General features: G+C 41.9%; 1 protein-coding gene across 32 annotated transcripts in view; it reads left to right on the forward strand.

The window, feature by feature from the left end:
* The window catches only part of SIDT1 (SID1 transmembrane family member 1), a 104,557-nt gene that overhangs the window by 66,791 nt on the left and 21,996 nt on the right, over positions 1–15,770 (forward strand). For 13 of the 32 annotated variants that reach the window (NM_001322299.2, XM_011512939.4, XM_047448379.1 and 10 more), the window contains 9 exons: positions 2,243–2,314; positions 3,660–3,805; positions 4,615–4,688; positions 5,565–5,631; positions 7,696–7,769; positions 8,749–8,872; positions 9,074–9,191; positions 11,663–11,799; positions 12,741–12,849. In NM_001322299.2, the coding sequence (NP_001309228.1) occupies positions 2,243–2,314; positions 3,660–3,805; positions 4,615–4,688; positions 5,565–5,631; positions 7,696–7,769; positions 8,749–8,872; positions 9,074–9,191; positions 11,663–11,799; positions 12,741–12,849 (921 nt within the window). Of the gene's footprint in view, positions 1–2,242; positions 2,315–3,041; positions 3,084–3,659; positions 3,806–4,614; positions 4,689–4,716; positions 5,447–5,564; positions 5,632–7,695; positions 7,770–8,748; positions 8,873–9,073; positions 9,192–11,662; positions 11,800–12,740; positions 12,850–15,717; positions 15,733–15,770 lie in introns of those variants that run through there. The other 19 variants (XM_047448376.1, NM_001322294.2, NM_001308350.2 and 16 more) reach the window with 7 other exon arrangements.

The raw sequence follows: 15,770 nt of genomic DNA on the forward strand, positions 1-15,770 counted from the left end.
AAGCTGTGCTTTTTTAAAATGTGAGTTTATTACAGTGGAGATGCAAATGAGCCTCAACCTCTTTGTCTCTTTAGAAAGGTATTCTTGAGCACTATATGAAAGTAACATATTTACTACCAATTGTTCTTGTTTGAAGGAAAATTCCTGTCTTTTCAGTTAAAAAGATAAGTTTTGTCTAATACAACAGAAGGTTATTCAGCCTTTAAGCAGGATATGCTGCCATTTGCAACAATATGCCTTCCATGGATAAACATGGAGGATGTTATGCTAAGTGGAATACACCAGACACAGAAAGCAAAGTACTGCATGGTCTCTCTTATATGTGAAATCTTTTAAAAAGTAAAATACATAGAAATAAGGAGTAGAACAGTGAATATCAGGGACAGGGAGTGGGAGGAAATTAGGAGCTGTAAGTCAAAAGGTACAAATCTGCAGGCAGGTAGGATGAATAAGTCTAGTATACAGTAGGAAGAATATATATAGTTAATAATATTGCATTCTATGTTGAAAATTTGTGAAGAGAGTAGATTTTAGGTGCTCTTATAACAACAAAAAAGAGGGAACTATGGAAAGTGATGGATATGTTAATTTGCTTAGCTATAGCAATCATTTCACTATGTGCACGTAATATCAAAACATCATGTTGTACATCTTAATATATACAATTAAAAATCATTTTTTAGGCCAAGCATGGTGGCTCACGCCTGTAATCCCAGCACTTTGAGAGGCCAAGGCAAGCTGATCACTTGAGGTGGGGAGTTCAAGACCAGCCTGGCCAACATGGTGAAACCCTGTCTCTACTAAAAATACAAAAATTAGCCAGTTGTGGTGATGTGCACCTGTAGTCCCAGCTACTCAGGAGGCCGAGGCAGGAGAATCGCTTGAACCCGGGAGGTGGAGGTTGCAGTGAGCCGAGATCGTACTACTGCACTCCAGCCTGGGTGACAAAGTGAGACCCTGTCCCAAGAAATAATAATAATTTTTCATAAAAAAAAAATAAGTTCTCACCGAGACCAATACAATGAAACACTATCCATCCACTCTCAGAGTGACCAGGCAAATTACATGATCTCTCAGCATCTCCCTTTTATCATCTTTAAAATGGTGATAATAATATTATCAACCTCCTAGGGTTGTTGAAAATTTAAAAGACTAAATTCCTGGAAAGAATTTAAAAGACTGTCCTACACAGTAAGTCTGCAATAAACATCAGTCAGTAGTAATAGAGGTAGTACTGGTAGCAGCAGCAGTAGCAGCTGCAGCAGCAAAGCTCTATGCTGTAACTATGGCCAATTCTGTTCTAAGTCAAAAAGAGTCAGGCAAATTGCACACAACATCTTCACATGGCACTGTTACTGTGCTCGAAAGATTTGATCTCTCATACTTAACAGTCTGAAGGTAACCTGTTTCTTTGATTTGAAGTTGGTTGAAAAGCATAGATGGTATTGATGACATGTTACATACTTATGGGTCAGCCCAAGAAAGGCCAGGGAACACCTAATTTCCCTAAATAAGAAGAAATTTATGAGGGGATCTCCAAGCCTAGTAACAGTGCCAGGGAGCATGCATTCTGAGGGCCAAAGTCTGCATTTTGAAGGCCAAGATCTGTGTGCTAAGGGCCCTGGGAACAGCTTAGGCTGCCAAAAATGCTGCGTTAGCCAGAAGCCTTGCTGTCCAGCTGAGCCAGCTCTTGGCTAAACCACCAAAGAAGAAAAGAAATTGGATCTCCAAGGCCATTGCATTAGTCCTTATAATTAAAGTTTAAGTCCAAAACCTGGCTAAAGGTTTTGAGTTTACACTTTAATTATTTTTCTTTATGGGGGAAATTAATGGACACATAAAAAATTTAAAACATGCTAAAAACCTACAAAGCTGGCTTACAAAACTGAGTATTTTTATTGTCCACCAATGGAAATGATGGCTGTGTTTCAGTAGAACTTATACATAAATACTGAAATTTGAATTTCGTATCATTTTTACCTGTCATGAAACATTATTCTTCTTTGGATTTTTTCCCCAGTCATTTAAAGGTTTGAAAACTAATCTTAGTTGAAGAGCCATACAGAAACAGGTGGCAGGCTAGATTTGGCAGATGGGTCATAGTTTTGGTGACTCCTGTATTAGTGTAAAAAGAAAATCAAACCTAAAATAATGTGCCCTGATGATTCAAGCTACTTAGAATAGTGTTGTTTTGTTTTAGCAACTGGACATAAAGTGTTTGCCTCTTCACTTTTTTTAACAGGCTCTGGAAATATGGTGGCATCTCATCCCATTGCTGCCAGCACACCCGAAGGGAGCAATTATGGGACAATAGGTATGTCCTACCAGGTCTGTTCATGAAAGTGTTTCCTAATTCTGCAGAGAATATGATAGAAAGGCATTCCAGCCACTAATAACTGGGAATGTGGGCAAAGCAGCTATCCTATGAGATTGTCTTTTATTTGTAAGATGAGTTGCTTGGAGATTTGGAAGCTTCCTCCCAGCTCTAACTTTCTCCAGTTCTGTTGTTCTGTTTCTTGGATCTGCTAGCCCCACTTGGGCAGAATTCCTTCAATGTTTGCCATCTAATACTAAGGCCCCCTAGGGACTTTTTCATATCCAGCCCGGGTTTAGGGCATGAAAGATGTGTCCCAGGGAGCCTGACATCAATTGACCAGTTGTTTCATTCTCAGGTTTCAGTGGAGTAAGGGGCGATCAGAAGACTGAGGCAGTGCTGCAGGTGAACATGGCTGTAGCCTACCAATCCTTCATTTTGGCTGACTTCATAATTGAACCTGCTCACTGCCACCCAGTCGTTCACATGGCAAACCCCAGTGTTCCTTAAGTGGGCTGAAAAGAATGGAATCCTAGACCTGTCTTGTTAGAGTAGAAGCTCATTGAGCTGCCTGCCCTTCCATATTGCTTGTGGACCTATGAATGGTGCTCTTTAAAATGTCAGTGTAGAGGGACTGGGAATCCTGTATTCCTGCCCTATCATTCTGTAACTTTGAGAAGCATGTGGGCTCAGTGCAGACTACTTATTTTTAGTTCTGTTAGAACAGGATTTTTAAGAAACCATCTGAACAGAAGAAATAAAGCGGAAGGTAAGCTCAGCTCATGTGCCCATCAAGCTGCATAAATCTCCATCTGCTCTGGGAAACATTCATGGGAACAGAAGGATTCTTCTTCCTGAGAATGTTGTTTTCATTATATAATCATAGATACAGCATGTGGGTGATTTCTGTGTACAAATACTTTACCCATGAGAAATGTATAGCTGTTAGATATGTGTGGGCTCACACATATATGCAATAGATGCTATACATAGCGATGTGCATGTGTATTTGTATATATTTATGTTCATATTTTAACATATGAAACATGAAATAGAAGTATAATATTATTTTTGTATCCAAATAGTTAACAGAGCAGATGCCCTTAGATTCTAATATGTGTTCAGTCCTGAAGATAGCCAAGTTAAATATAAAAACAGGAGAAGAGGAAAAATAAAAGTCCATTGAGAAGGAATAGAGAGAAAGAACAGGTCTTGTGAATGAGAAGTTCATTTGGATCAACACAGCATTTCCTAGAATGAGTCTGCACTGTGCTTTTTGCAGAGACGAATGGGCTCCGTAGGCTCTCCACGGCTTTTGATGGCAGATGAGTTGTCTCTGTTTCAGATGAGTCAAGCTCCAGTCCTGGAAGGCAGATGTCCTCCTCCGATGGTGGGCCACCGGGCCAGTCAGACACAGACAGCTCCGTGGAGGAGAGCGACTTCGACACCATGCCAGACATTGAGAGTGATAAAAACATCATCCGGACCAAGGTACCCACTCTGCCTCGCCGTACTCTTTGAGAGGGCAGAAAGTTTGGCAGTAGAATAAACTTCAGCAATACCTCAGTTTCCTTTATTTTGTTTCCTTCAGGGAAACCCAAATTTCCCAGAAGACTTAAATCAAATGTACCTACAGACTAAAAGCAATACTCTGTTAATTCGCACTTTTTTTTCTCGCGGAAGAAAGTGAGCACATTAAAGAGCACAGGGCATTAAAACACTCTTAAGGTCTGAAGTGAATGACTGTAGGCAATAAAGAAGGAAGGGATCCAACCAGATTAAAGAAAAGATTCATTTGAGGGGTGTACTGGGGAAAGCTCCCCGGTTCTGTGCATATCATCTTTCAAAAGGAAAGCTAATTTGTTTCTGGCTTGTGATTATTATTTTCTGTCATATCCAGCAAAAGATATGAAGGGGAAACGTACAGTTTCAGCCCTATGTAGTTCAAGAACCACACAGTGGACAGCTCTGAAAGCTGGGAAATCAATTCTTGACATGTAAGAAGCACTCAAGACTCCCAATAAGTTGCCCACATCAGCCAATCCTTAATATTCCAAGGAAAATACTAGGGTTTTTATTAAGGTATCATGGGAAAAACAACATTAAAAGAAAAGTCTTAAATAATTTTAATCAAGTAAATTTGATTTACTTAATCAAATTTAGTAAATTTGAATAATTGTATCGCTTGAATAATTTTAACAATTTTAATTTAAATTGAGACATTTGTTATGTTTGCCTTTGTATCTCATGCATAAAGAGCTGAGTACAGTTTTGCATTCTCTTTTTATTTGGCATTCCAGATGTTCCTTTACCTGTCAGATTTGTCCAGGAAGGACCGGAGAATTGTCAGCAAAAAATATAAAATTTATTTTTGGTAAGTAGATGACCAGTAGGACCATGGTTCCCTTAAATAAACATAGTTTTCTTAGTCAGAGCCACAACCACTTAGGCACAAGGTTTTAGTGTTTAATGAGGCACAGGCATAGGGAATGATGTTACCAGCCAACTATCAGTAGACCTGCAATGGCCACACACATGGACACAGCCTCCCTCCCAGCCAAGAGGCTGAGCTGCCTTGCAAGAAATCTTCTCTCCCCTCAGAAACCCCCAAGCTGAGTATTCTACTCTTGTGACAGCTCCTCCCCTTATTTTCTCCTGGAGGATGCCCTTTTACTTGCATGCAGATCTTAGAAGGAAATAAGGGACAATGGGGCCACATGAAATTTCATAGTGGGACCATCAGTTTGGAAACCACACCCTTTCACGTGATCCGTCACTCATTACTTACACTCTGATGTTTAATCTAACAGCAGCCTAAAGAGATAGGCCCTCATAAATGATTTGGTTAAACCAGAAGCAGGTACTACTTACACTGTTTTACAAATGGTTGTAAGAAAAGAAAGAAAAAAGAAACCCTAATATTTGTTGGGTACCAATCATTAACCTTTTAAAAAAATACATTTCAGTTAGTATTTTCAGTTTTTGCCTCTGCACCCTAACTAAAAGTATCCAAGGGAAGCTTTTCTTTACTTCTTTAATTCCCCTTTAGACAAGATACTGTGTACCAAATGCCCCAATGCAAGAGAGGGGAGAGGACAACTGGAGAAACAAGAACCACATAATCAGCTTCTGGTTACTTTTGCAAGTTAATTATGGACTTATGGGGTGGAAGCATTCTTTTAAAAATATTAACCAAAGACTCCACTGTTCATTTGAAAATAAGCATTTCTGGTTCTTTCTGCCTGCATAGGAACATCATCACCATTGCTGTGTTTTACGCGCTGCCCGTGATCCAGCTGGTCATTACCTATCAGACAGTAAGTGCTGCCCCAGCCCCAGCCCCAGAGTCCCAGCTTTCTTTCTGCAGGGAGAGTCTCCACTGTGACTGACAGAGAGAGGTACAACTTAGGATCCATTCAGGAATTTCCCATTGGGGTTCCAATTGGAATTCACTATTGCTTCCTCTTTTTTTTTTTTTTTTTTGACGGAGTCTCGCTCTGTCACCCTGGCTGGAGTGCAATGGCACGATGTCGGCTCACTGCAACCTCTGCCTCCTGGATTAAAGCAATTCTCCTGCCTCAGCCTCCCGAGTAGCTGGGATTACAGGCATGTGCCACCATGCCCAGCTAATTTTTTGTGTATTTTTAGTAGAGGTGGGGTTTCACCATGTTGACCAGGCTGGTCTCAAACTCCTAACCTCAGGTGATCCGCCTGCTTCAGCCTCCCAAAGTACTGGGATTACAGGCATGAGCCACCACACCCAGCCCATTGCTTCATCTTTAACTGACCTTTCAATCTAGTTCCCAATTGTTTTATCACAAAGGGAGCTGCAATCTCTTGTATTATTTTGTCTACCAGTCTGAAAGTATTACCCTGTGCTTATTCAGTCATGATATCTATCCACTGCATCTGTTACTTAACACTCTGAGCTTTCTGATCATTATGGGACAATGAGTAGAGTAAATAAAGTTCCAGACTAAAACAAAGGAACCTGATAGCTAATCTAGCCTGTGCCTTCCCATTGAAGGTAAATTTTTTTTGTAAAATTAAAAACAGCTTTGTGGCTGGGCACGGTGGCTCACATCTGTAATCCCAGAACTTTGGGAGGCCTAGGCAGGTGGATTGCCTGAGCTCAGGAGTTTGAGACCAGCCTGGGCAACATGGCGAAACCCTGACTCTACCAAAAATACAAAAAAATTAGCTGAGTGGTGGCACACACCTGTGGTCCCAGCTACTCGGGAGGCTGAAGTGGGAGGATTGCTTGAGCCTGTGGAGGTGTAGATTGCAGTAAGCTGACACTGAGCCACTGCACTCCAGCCTGAGTGACAGAGTGAGACCGTGTCTCAAGAACAAAAAAAGGAAAAAAAAGAAAAAAAAAAAGCTTCATGAAACTAACAAAATATTACAGTAAAAGGAAAATGTAAAATAAAAACAAGCATTTTTTAAGCAAAAATAATATGAAAGTAGTTTGAGAATCCTCATTCCTCCATAGAATCCTAGGCCAAGGTCACTTATATGGCCTTCTATAGAATTTATTACACAGTAGAAAGCCCATTTACAATAGCAAAAAGCTGAAGTTGCTTCTAATGCAGTGGCCCTCAGACTTTGCTCTGCATTAAGGTCACCTGGGAAGCTTTTACAAATCCCAGTGTCCAGGCTGTACCCCGTCCCAATTAGATCAGAGTCCCTGAGGGTGGGGCCAGGCATCTGTAGTGTTTAAACCCCCAGTGATTCCAACATACAGCCAAGTTTGTGTGTTAATGATCTAATAATATTTAGTCAATTGCATACTTATTATGCAGTGAGAAAAAGGACTTCATGAGGTTTGAGCACCACTGTTTATAATCTAAATCTTCTCTGCATACTTTGGGGGACTGTCAGAAGATACACCTGGACTGTGGTTTGGGAAAGTTCTTGACAGAGATGGTGATAAATAGGGAAAGCTGAACACACATCTCCTCGTGTCTACCTGCCTCATGTTTACCATTTCTACCCAGAGGATGGGACAGCTCTATATCCCCTCTGCAGTAACCTAGAAAATAAGACATAGTGTGACAGTCCTGAAAGGCCCCAATGTTCGCATTCTTTCGTAGTCCTTTTATCATAACAAAGGAAATGCAATTGGATGAATTCCACCTTGGGGCTGCATAAGAGGGTACACAGAATATTCCCATTCAAAGCAAGATGGTAACTTTTTTGTAAAAAAAGTGCCTGTGCTGTGTAAGGTGGCAGATAATGGCCCATCTGTGCAGAGGAGCACTGGTTACATTGTAAACTAGTGACAGTGCATCTCCGTGAGCCCTGTCTGCTCTTTGTGTTCCTGCTGGGGCTCAGAGGACGGAGGAAAACCACATTTCCTCTTCTCACTCTTGATTTTACAGGTGGTAAATGTCACTGGCAACCAGGACATCTGTTACTACAACTTCCTCTGTGCTCACCCCTTGGGCGTCCTGAGGTAAACCCAGTCCTCTGGTTGCCCATGAGGCATTTAGAGATGCCTTTCTGTCTAATGTTGTGATTTCGGTTTTTAAAAATACTAAAAACAACTGTGGAAAACGACCCTATTCAAGGGTAAAAAGGAACTAAACCAAGAAGTTGAGACCAGGTATGCTCCTCCCGTTCCTGTATGTGGTTCTCAGGAAACATTCCTTAGCATACTGCCTGCTGAGATGAGGGCAGTGACATTTTTTAAAATGTCAGATCTCTAGCTCTGGTGGCATTTGTTCACAGGCATGAGCTGGCAACCTATTGTCTCATTCGATCCATTAAACAACCTCGTGAGATAGACATTACTATGATCCCTATTTTTAGATGAAGGCAGGTGAGGATTTGCTGAAGGTCCCTCAGCTGCTAAGTAGTGCAGGACGCAAACCCAGCCCTGTGGCCTCCCAGGCCATGCTCTAGCCACCAGAACTTGGTGACGTGGAAGAAGCATTGCCTGGGAGTTGGGAGTCTAGCCTCTTGCTCCAGAGCTGAACCAGCGTTCGTTTCCTCAAATAAAGCTGCTGGCTATGATTGGCTGACACTTACCTGAAATTCACAATTAGAGAGCTGAACATTGACACACACGGGTCCACCTGTGAGAACTCACTCTCACGGTGTAGCTGAAACACTTGCCTGTCTTTGAAGCAGCTGTCTTTCCCAGGATTCATACTATACAAACGCCACTGGGATAAGAGAGGATGGGAGGGTGTTAGGAAGCCAAGCAGGCACCCTTGAGAGGAAACAGTCACGTTGTCACAGGCTAAGTAAGCATCATAAAATGAAGGAGTTAGGTTAAAGAGGATTTCTAATACTTTTCTGATCTTGAAACCTTATGGAAAGGTTAATGGAAAACATTCATGCTGAATTCATTCATTCCTTCATGCATCATGTATTCTCTGGGTCCCTTTGATGGTCTTGACTCTCTCATGGTCTCTCACTCATCCCTGTAGTGCCTTCAACAACATTCTCAGCAATCTGGGCCACGTGCTTCTGGGCTTCCTCTTCCTGCTGATAGTCTTGCGCCGCGACATCCTCCATCGGAGAGCCCTGGAAGCCAAGGACATCTTTGCTGTGGTGAGGAAAGAGTGGGTAGGAGCTAGGAAGGGTTATGGATCCAAACAGGATCTGCAAAGGGGTGGGACATCTGGCTTAATGGTGTGATGATTTATTATGTGTAATAAACTACATGAGGCCAGAAGCATGTGCTTCCAGATTAGTGACTTGGTGGATATGGCACTATTTAGTATCTATTGACCACCCTTTCTCCTTTTTCAGGAGTACGGGATTCCCAAACACTTTGGTCTCTTCTACGCTATGGGCATTGCATTGATGATGGAAGGGGTGCTCAGTGCTTGCTACCATGTCTGCCCTAATTATTCCAACTTCCAATTCGGTAATTAGAACTTATATCTACTATACAGATTTGAATCGTCAGTCTTATCCTGGAACCCTCCCCAAAAATGCCAAAGTCATGCTTGCAAAGATCAAATGGCATTTTATGTGAGCTGAAGAGATCAGAGAGGACCTCCACACAGAGCATGACCTAATTGAGCAGTTAGACTGCTTTGGGATGAAAGTTATGGAGAACCCAATTTATGCTGGATTGAATAATAAGGACATCCAGATGTAGAAAGGGCTTGTGGTTGATTTATCTGGTGACTCTGCCTTCATTTCTCTGTGATCCCTTTGATTGTACCCAGCCTGTATGTTGGTTTTATCATCAGGCTATCTTCCCTGCTGGTGGCAAAAGTAACTATAGCAGCCCCTGGCTTCGTAGTTCCACCCAACAATTCCAGAGGAGGCGGCAAGCTGGGTTCCAGAAGCCTTCAATTAAGAGCAAGGAAGTTGTTTTTTGAGAAAGCCACAGATAATATCCTTTCACATCTCAGTAGCTTATACAGTCATGAGCCCATTCTTTTTTTTTTTTTTTTTTTTTTTTGACAGAATCTGGCTCTGTCGCCCAGGCTGGAGTGCAGTGGCATGATCTGAGCTCACTGCAATCTCTGCCTCAGGGGTTCAAGTGATCCTCATCCCTCAGCCTCCCCAGTAGCTGGGACTACTGGTGCGCACCACCACGCCCAGCTAATTTTTGTATTTTTTTTGGTAGAGATGGGGTTTCACCATGTTGGCCGGGCTGGTCTCAAACTCCTAACCTCAGGCGATCCTCCTGCCTCTGCCTCCCAAAGTGCTGGGATTACAGGCGTGAGCCACCACACCCGGCCCCATGAGCCCATTTTTGAATCATTCTCTAAGCGCTGGTTAGCTCAGACCCAGGTTGCTTCACCAATCAGCAAAAAAGGTGGGACTATCTTTAGACCAATCAGCCCTGTCCCTGGAGCCAAAGGTGGGATTAGCTTTCCTGAAGCAAAGGGGCTGAGACAGTGTGCATTTCTGAATTGAAAGCGGGTAGACATTGAGTTAATATTGAGATGTTATTAAGAAGGAAGAAAGGAAAAGCTGATGCTGTCTAGCAAGTAACGATGTCCTCCACTCTCAAGGATGAGGATTTTTTAAACGGTCGTTTAATGTTTGTGCTCTGGCTTCTGGTGTTAACTCTGAGCACCACAGAACTCTGTCGCATTTAATTTTTTTAATTAGGAAACATTTTCAATAGAGAAAACTGCAGAGAATGATATCATTCACCACTCAGAATGAACAAATGTCAACATTTTTAAATATTTGCCTAGATCTACTTTTTAAAGAATAAAGCACTGTGATAAAGTTGAGGTCCTGTTTTGACGCACTTTCAAACTTAATCTCCTCCTTCCTCCCCTAAAGGCAATAACCATGATTAATTTTATATTTACCTTCCCGGTTTGTTTTTATAATTTTTCTACATTTGTAGCAAATTAATAGTAGTTTATCATTCTGTGTTCTGCAGCCTTTTTTCATTCAAGAATATGTTTTCAAGATTTATCAATATTATATCAAGGACATGTAGTGCATTCATTTTTAAGGGTTGTCATATTATATAACAAAAAGTATCACATTTATCAATTCCTCTATTGAACAGCATTTAAATGTTGCCTGTATTTTGCTATTATAGATAACACTGCAGTGATCATCCTTCTATATGTCTCTTTGTATGTATGTGAGAGAGGTTCCTTGGGATACCTAGAAGTAGAATTTTTCAGTTACTTGGTTTGTGCACCTTCTATTTTACCAAAAACTGACAAATTTCTCTCCAGAGCATTAATTCCCATTCCCAATAGCTGTGTGAGACTTCCCATTCCCCAGATCATCACTAACGTTTATTACTGTCAGACACTTAAAGTTTTTATCAAGTTTTTGAGTAAAATGGAGGCATTGCATTGTTATCTTAATTTGCATGTCCACAATTGTAATGCAGTAAGCTCCATTTTATTTCTAGCTATTTTCCATCACTAGGCTATAAAGCTATAAATGTGCAGTAATCAATGTGATTATATTTTAGGGTGCTGAGAACGACCTCCCACACCCATCTGGGGCTCATTTTATGGTCACACTGCCTACATTATCACCATTAGGAATTCTTTTGTTATAATTGTTGAACACCAGCATCTAAAACGCAAGTGGGGGTAGTTGTTTGTTTATCATATCAGACACTCCTTCTGTGAAAGAGGAGTTATTTATTTATTATATCAGATGTTTTTCTTCTGTGAACTAAAGGGCAGCCTTAGAGAGGTTTAGAAGTGGAGTACGTGCGGTCTCCTAGAGAATGTGCCAAGAGGCTGACATGTTAGAGGTCTCCACACAGCCTGCGGGTAGAAAATAGTCCATGGATTGAAGTGAGGGGTACTCAGAGTCTGAAGAAAAATCTAGAAAATATCATCTGTCTGTCACCTACTGAATCCTGATCATCTGGCTCCTCCTTTGGGTCCTCAGACACCTCCTTCATGTACATGATCGCTGGCCTGTGCATGCTGAAGCTCTATCAGACCCGCCACCCAGACATCAATGCCAGCGCCTACTCTGCCTATGCCTCCTTTGCTGTGGTCATCATGGTCACCGTCCTTGGAGTGGTGCGTCCCCCACCTTCTTCCACCTGGCTCTCGAAAAGTGCCCCCCTAGGTCCAATAAACAAACAACAATCAAGTGAACGGGTTTGGATTAACCAAAATCCTCAGTTCATGACACAATTTCATCTCATGACACAATTTCATCTCATGACACACTTTCATCATTGGCCCACTCATGGCACACTTTTACTTAGTTATTTAGTTTTTTTGTTTGTTTGTGAGACTCTGTCACCAGGCTGGAGTGCAGTGGCATGATCTCAGCTCACCGCAACCTCCACCTCCCGGGTTCAAGCGATTCTCCTGCCTCAGCCTCCTGAGTAGCTGGGACTACAGGCGCCCACCACCACGCCTGGCTAATTTTTGTAGAGACAGAGTTTCACCATGTTGGCCAGACTGGTCTCAAACTCCTGACCTCATGATCTGCCCACCTCGGCCTCCCAAAGTGTTGGGATTACAGGCGTGAGCCACCGTGCCCGGCCTAGTTGGTTATTTTAATAATGTATTAGGCACCTGTAAAAAGACCACTGGATAATTTTAATATAAAGCTAGACCCGACTCATGTGAAAGTGGAATAGGGGTATATAAGCTGACTGGAGAGACTGAGGGGAAAAAACAGAAACCACCTTCTAAATACGCATGGGAAACACGTGTTGCCTGTTTTGGTTATTTGAAGTTCATTCGCCCCCACTTTAGACCCGTTGCCCCTTCACCATTGCTATTTGGCTGCCTCTCCTATTTCCTTTTTCCATTTTCATTTGGCCCAGTAGCCTTTTTTTTTTTTCCTGTCCCTTGGGAGTAAGATCCATGGGAGTTTCCAGAGGGGGAGAAAAATAGAATGTGCACACAGCTGTTTTTGACTCCTTACACATACAGGAGAGAGGATGATTTTGATGAGTTTTCTAGGGAAAACCTCAGATGAAGGTAACTTCCATCTTTACTCCTAGGTGTTTGGAAAAAATGACGTATGGTTCTGGGTCATCTTCTCTGCAATCCACGTTCTGGCCTCGCTAGCCCTCAGCACCCAGATATATTATATGGGTCGTTTCAAGATAGGTGAGTCACCTGTTAATTCTATACTAATCACACGAATCAACTTTAATGAAAAAGCAGACACTGCCTTTACTTATGCTGAATGAAAGTGTCACTGGTCACCGTGAACACATGCTCTGAATTCTATGCCATGTTTAATAGCACATATTCGCTCCAAGAGCTTCCTCTCCCTTATAGGATAGTGATAAGCTATTACCCCTAGTTCTATTTTCAGCTGAGAAACTAAGGTTTGCCACACCTCAGAGATGAGTTGTACCTCCAACCCCTGGTTGCAAACACTTTACAGTCTGCCAAACTTTGACTTGTATTAGAGAATGGTATGATCATACCACTAGTTCCACCTAGAGGAACATTTTTCAGTTTGCAGCATTCAAAGGGAGCATTTCTCTAACCATGCTAAATGGTTGTCAAGAATGAATTATATATTTTCAGATTCTAGGGCTGGAACTTTTGAGACCAACTTGCCAATCTTAGAGGCAGGACACCTGCTGAGCTCCCTCCAACTTATCAGAGAGCATTGAATGTTCTACAGAAATCAGCTTGTGATCTGCTGTTGATCAGTCATCATATATGGGAACAGATTCAAGTGGTTTTAGAGCATTTAAATTTTAAAAAATCATTTTAAGTTCCAGGAAGTCAGACTTAAATATCCTTTTGTCTATTTCAAGGCAAATTATTATATATAAACATAGGCAAACTTCTGATATTAACAAAGCCCAGAGCAAAAGTCCAAATAAAAGCCTGCATAGCTTATGTGTAAGAACATCAAAGTCATAAAGCAGACTAAAAAGCTATTAAATACATGAAAGGAGGGAAGAAGGGAGGGAGGGAAAAATATACCTCCATTGCAACTAAATTAGAAGGCCTAGGTTCAAATTTAAAATTCTTGGTTTCTCAAAGAACACTTTTTTCTACCTCTGGTTGTGTCTTAAGGAGTCTCACAAGTGTGCATGTGGCACCTTTGCCCTACATCCAATGTTCATCCACTTCCCCCACAAATAGCCACCACTTGGCCATTCCCTGCCCCTAGAGGTATGCCCTAGTGGTACCATCTGCCCTCAGGAGGATACACAAGGGAAGGGGGCTATGCAGGCCTTAGAGCAGGCTCGGAGCCTTCTGGGCAGGTAGACACTTCTGGCTCCCTGGAATTCAGAATTTCTAGAAGGAAAGGAGGAGTCCTTTGGCCCTGCAGACTCCTCACTCATGAGGGAATAAGGCCTCTAAAATATGGGACCCTCTTGTCCAGGTCTAAGAGCAATTCTACATAAACAAATGGCTTTAAGACTAGAAGACCAAATAGAGCAATTGCTCGTTTTCAAAGGTTAATTCTTTTGCCATGGTCAGTAGATTTACCTTTGGCATGAACATAGCCAGCATACCTCCAAATCCCCCAGTTACTTGAGCCAGTTGTGTAGAACATTTGGCAGGGCACGCTGGTCATGATCCTCCACCAGACAGAAGGTAAGTGAAGTCATACAAACTAAACTTTCAAAAGGAAAATAATTGGGAGCATTGTTGTTCTGGTTTCTTCCAGAGTTGGAAAAATAAACTTGAGTGCAGATATATGCAATGGTAGTAACCACTAATACATAGAGGAGCTTTAATATATTTATACCACCTTTGCCTTATGCAATTTTGCAATGCCAAATTATCTTATCTTTTAAAAGAAGTGAAATTTAGCATATCATATTATGACCATGGAATAATTTGTTAGGGTCCCAACAGGAAAAAGATGTCACACACAAAGATAGAGAAGGATTTATTAACAGAAGTACTATTCACAAGATGTGGATGGGGTAGAGGGGAATGAAAGGGATACCGTGGAAACTTGGGGTTAGCAGCAGTGAAGCTTTTACATCTATAAGCCCAAAAGGACAGGGAAGACATGGTTCCCAAAATCTAGAAGGAGAGAGTTACAGGGAAAAGTCACTCTGAAAGGAACAGTGACCTTTCATGGACGTTCTGACCAGCCTGCGGTAACCTCACAGGGAGGACGCCGGCAAAATAAGTCCTCTGAGCTCACTCTCCTTCCTTTGTCCCTGCAGTCTCCTGCCGGAATTCCCCATTGTCCAAGGAAAGTCAGGGAATCCACTGATATCATCCACACAGGCCCGCCTCCCCAGTGTGGTGGGTCCCCAGGAGAGAGATTCATGGCAAGTGGGCCTAGTAGGGCAAATGGGAACTAGCCAGCCTGTAGTTTAACTGAATATTTTCCATTTCCGTACCCATGGAGTCTTCCCCAGGTGGTTACAGATGTACCAGAGTCAAAAGAAAACTTTCTATTTCGTCGTTGACAATGATTGTGTCTAAATTTAGTCCAAAGCCAGGAAGTTGGATTCATGGACAGTGTTCAGCTGACTCCAGCCTTTCTACCCATGTCATAAGTTGCCTTTGCTTTCTAATCACATGTCCTTTCTCTGTGGCCCCTCGGGCTACACAAGCAAATAAATGTGGACACAGGAAAGGCAGCAGCAATGAGGAAAAACATTTCATCATTAGCTCTCATAAACCGCAGAGCTGCTTCCCCAAATCACTACTGTGTCCCCCAGTCCCAGAGCTCTGGAAAAGGACCTCAGGGATTTCTCATGAGAGAGGCTGGATTATAAATTGCAAGCAGTGCACAAAAGTAGACAGAGAGAGAGAAAAGTCTCAATTCACTCTTTGAGGATTTGAAGACTTCTGAATGTTTGAGACAAGCAGAAAGATCCTATGTTCTCTTTGACAAGTAAGCATTACTTTTATAATCAGAAAGCAAAATTAAAGTCATCCATCTTGAGAAAAAATAAAATGACCAGTAGTTTACATGTTTGGCTACTTTCTTACACGTCTCTCTTTTTTTTCTCCTTTCTTCTCTGCTTCCTACTGATTCAGATGTGTCTGACACAGGTAATGTTCAGCCACCCTTTCCAGGGGTCTAGATTGTT

Source organism: Homo sapiens, chromosome 3 (genome assembly GCF_000001405.40).
Source record: "Homo sapiens chromosome 3, GRCh38.p14 Primary Assembly".
Classification (NCBI taxonomy): domain Eukaryota; kingdom Metazoa; phylum Chordata; class Mammalia; order Primates; family Hominidae; genus Homo; species Homo sapiens.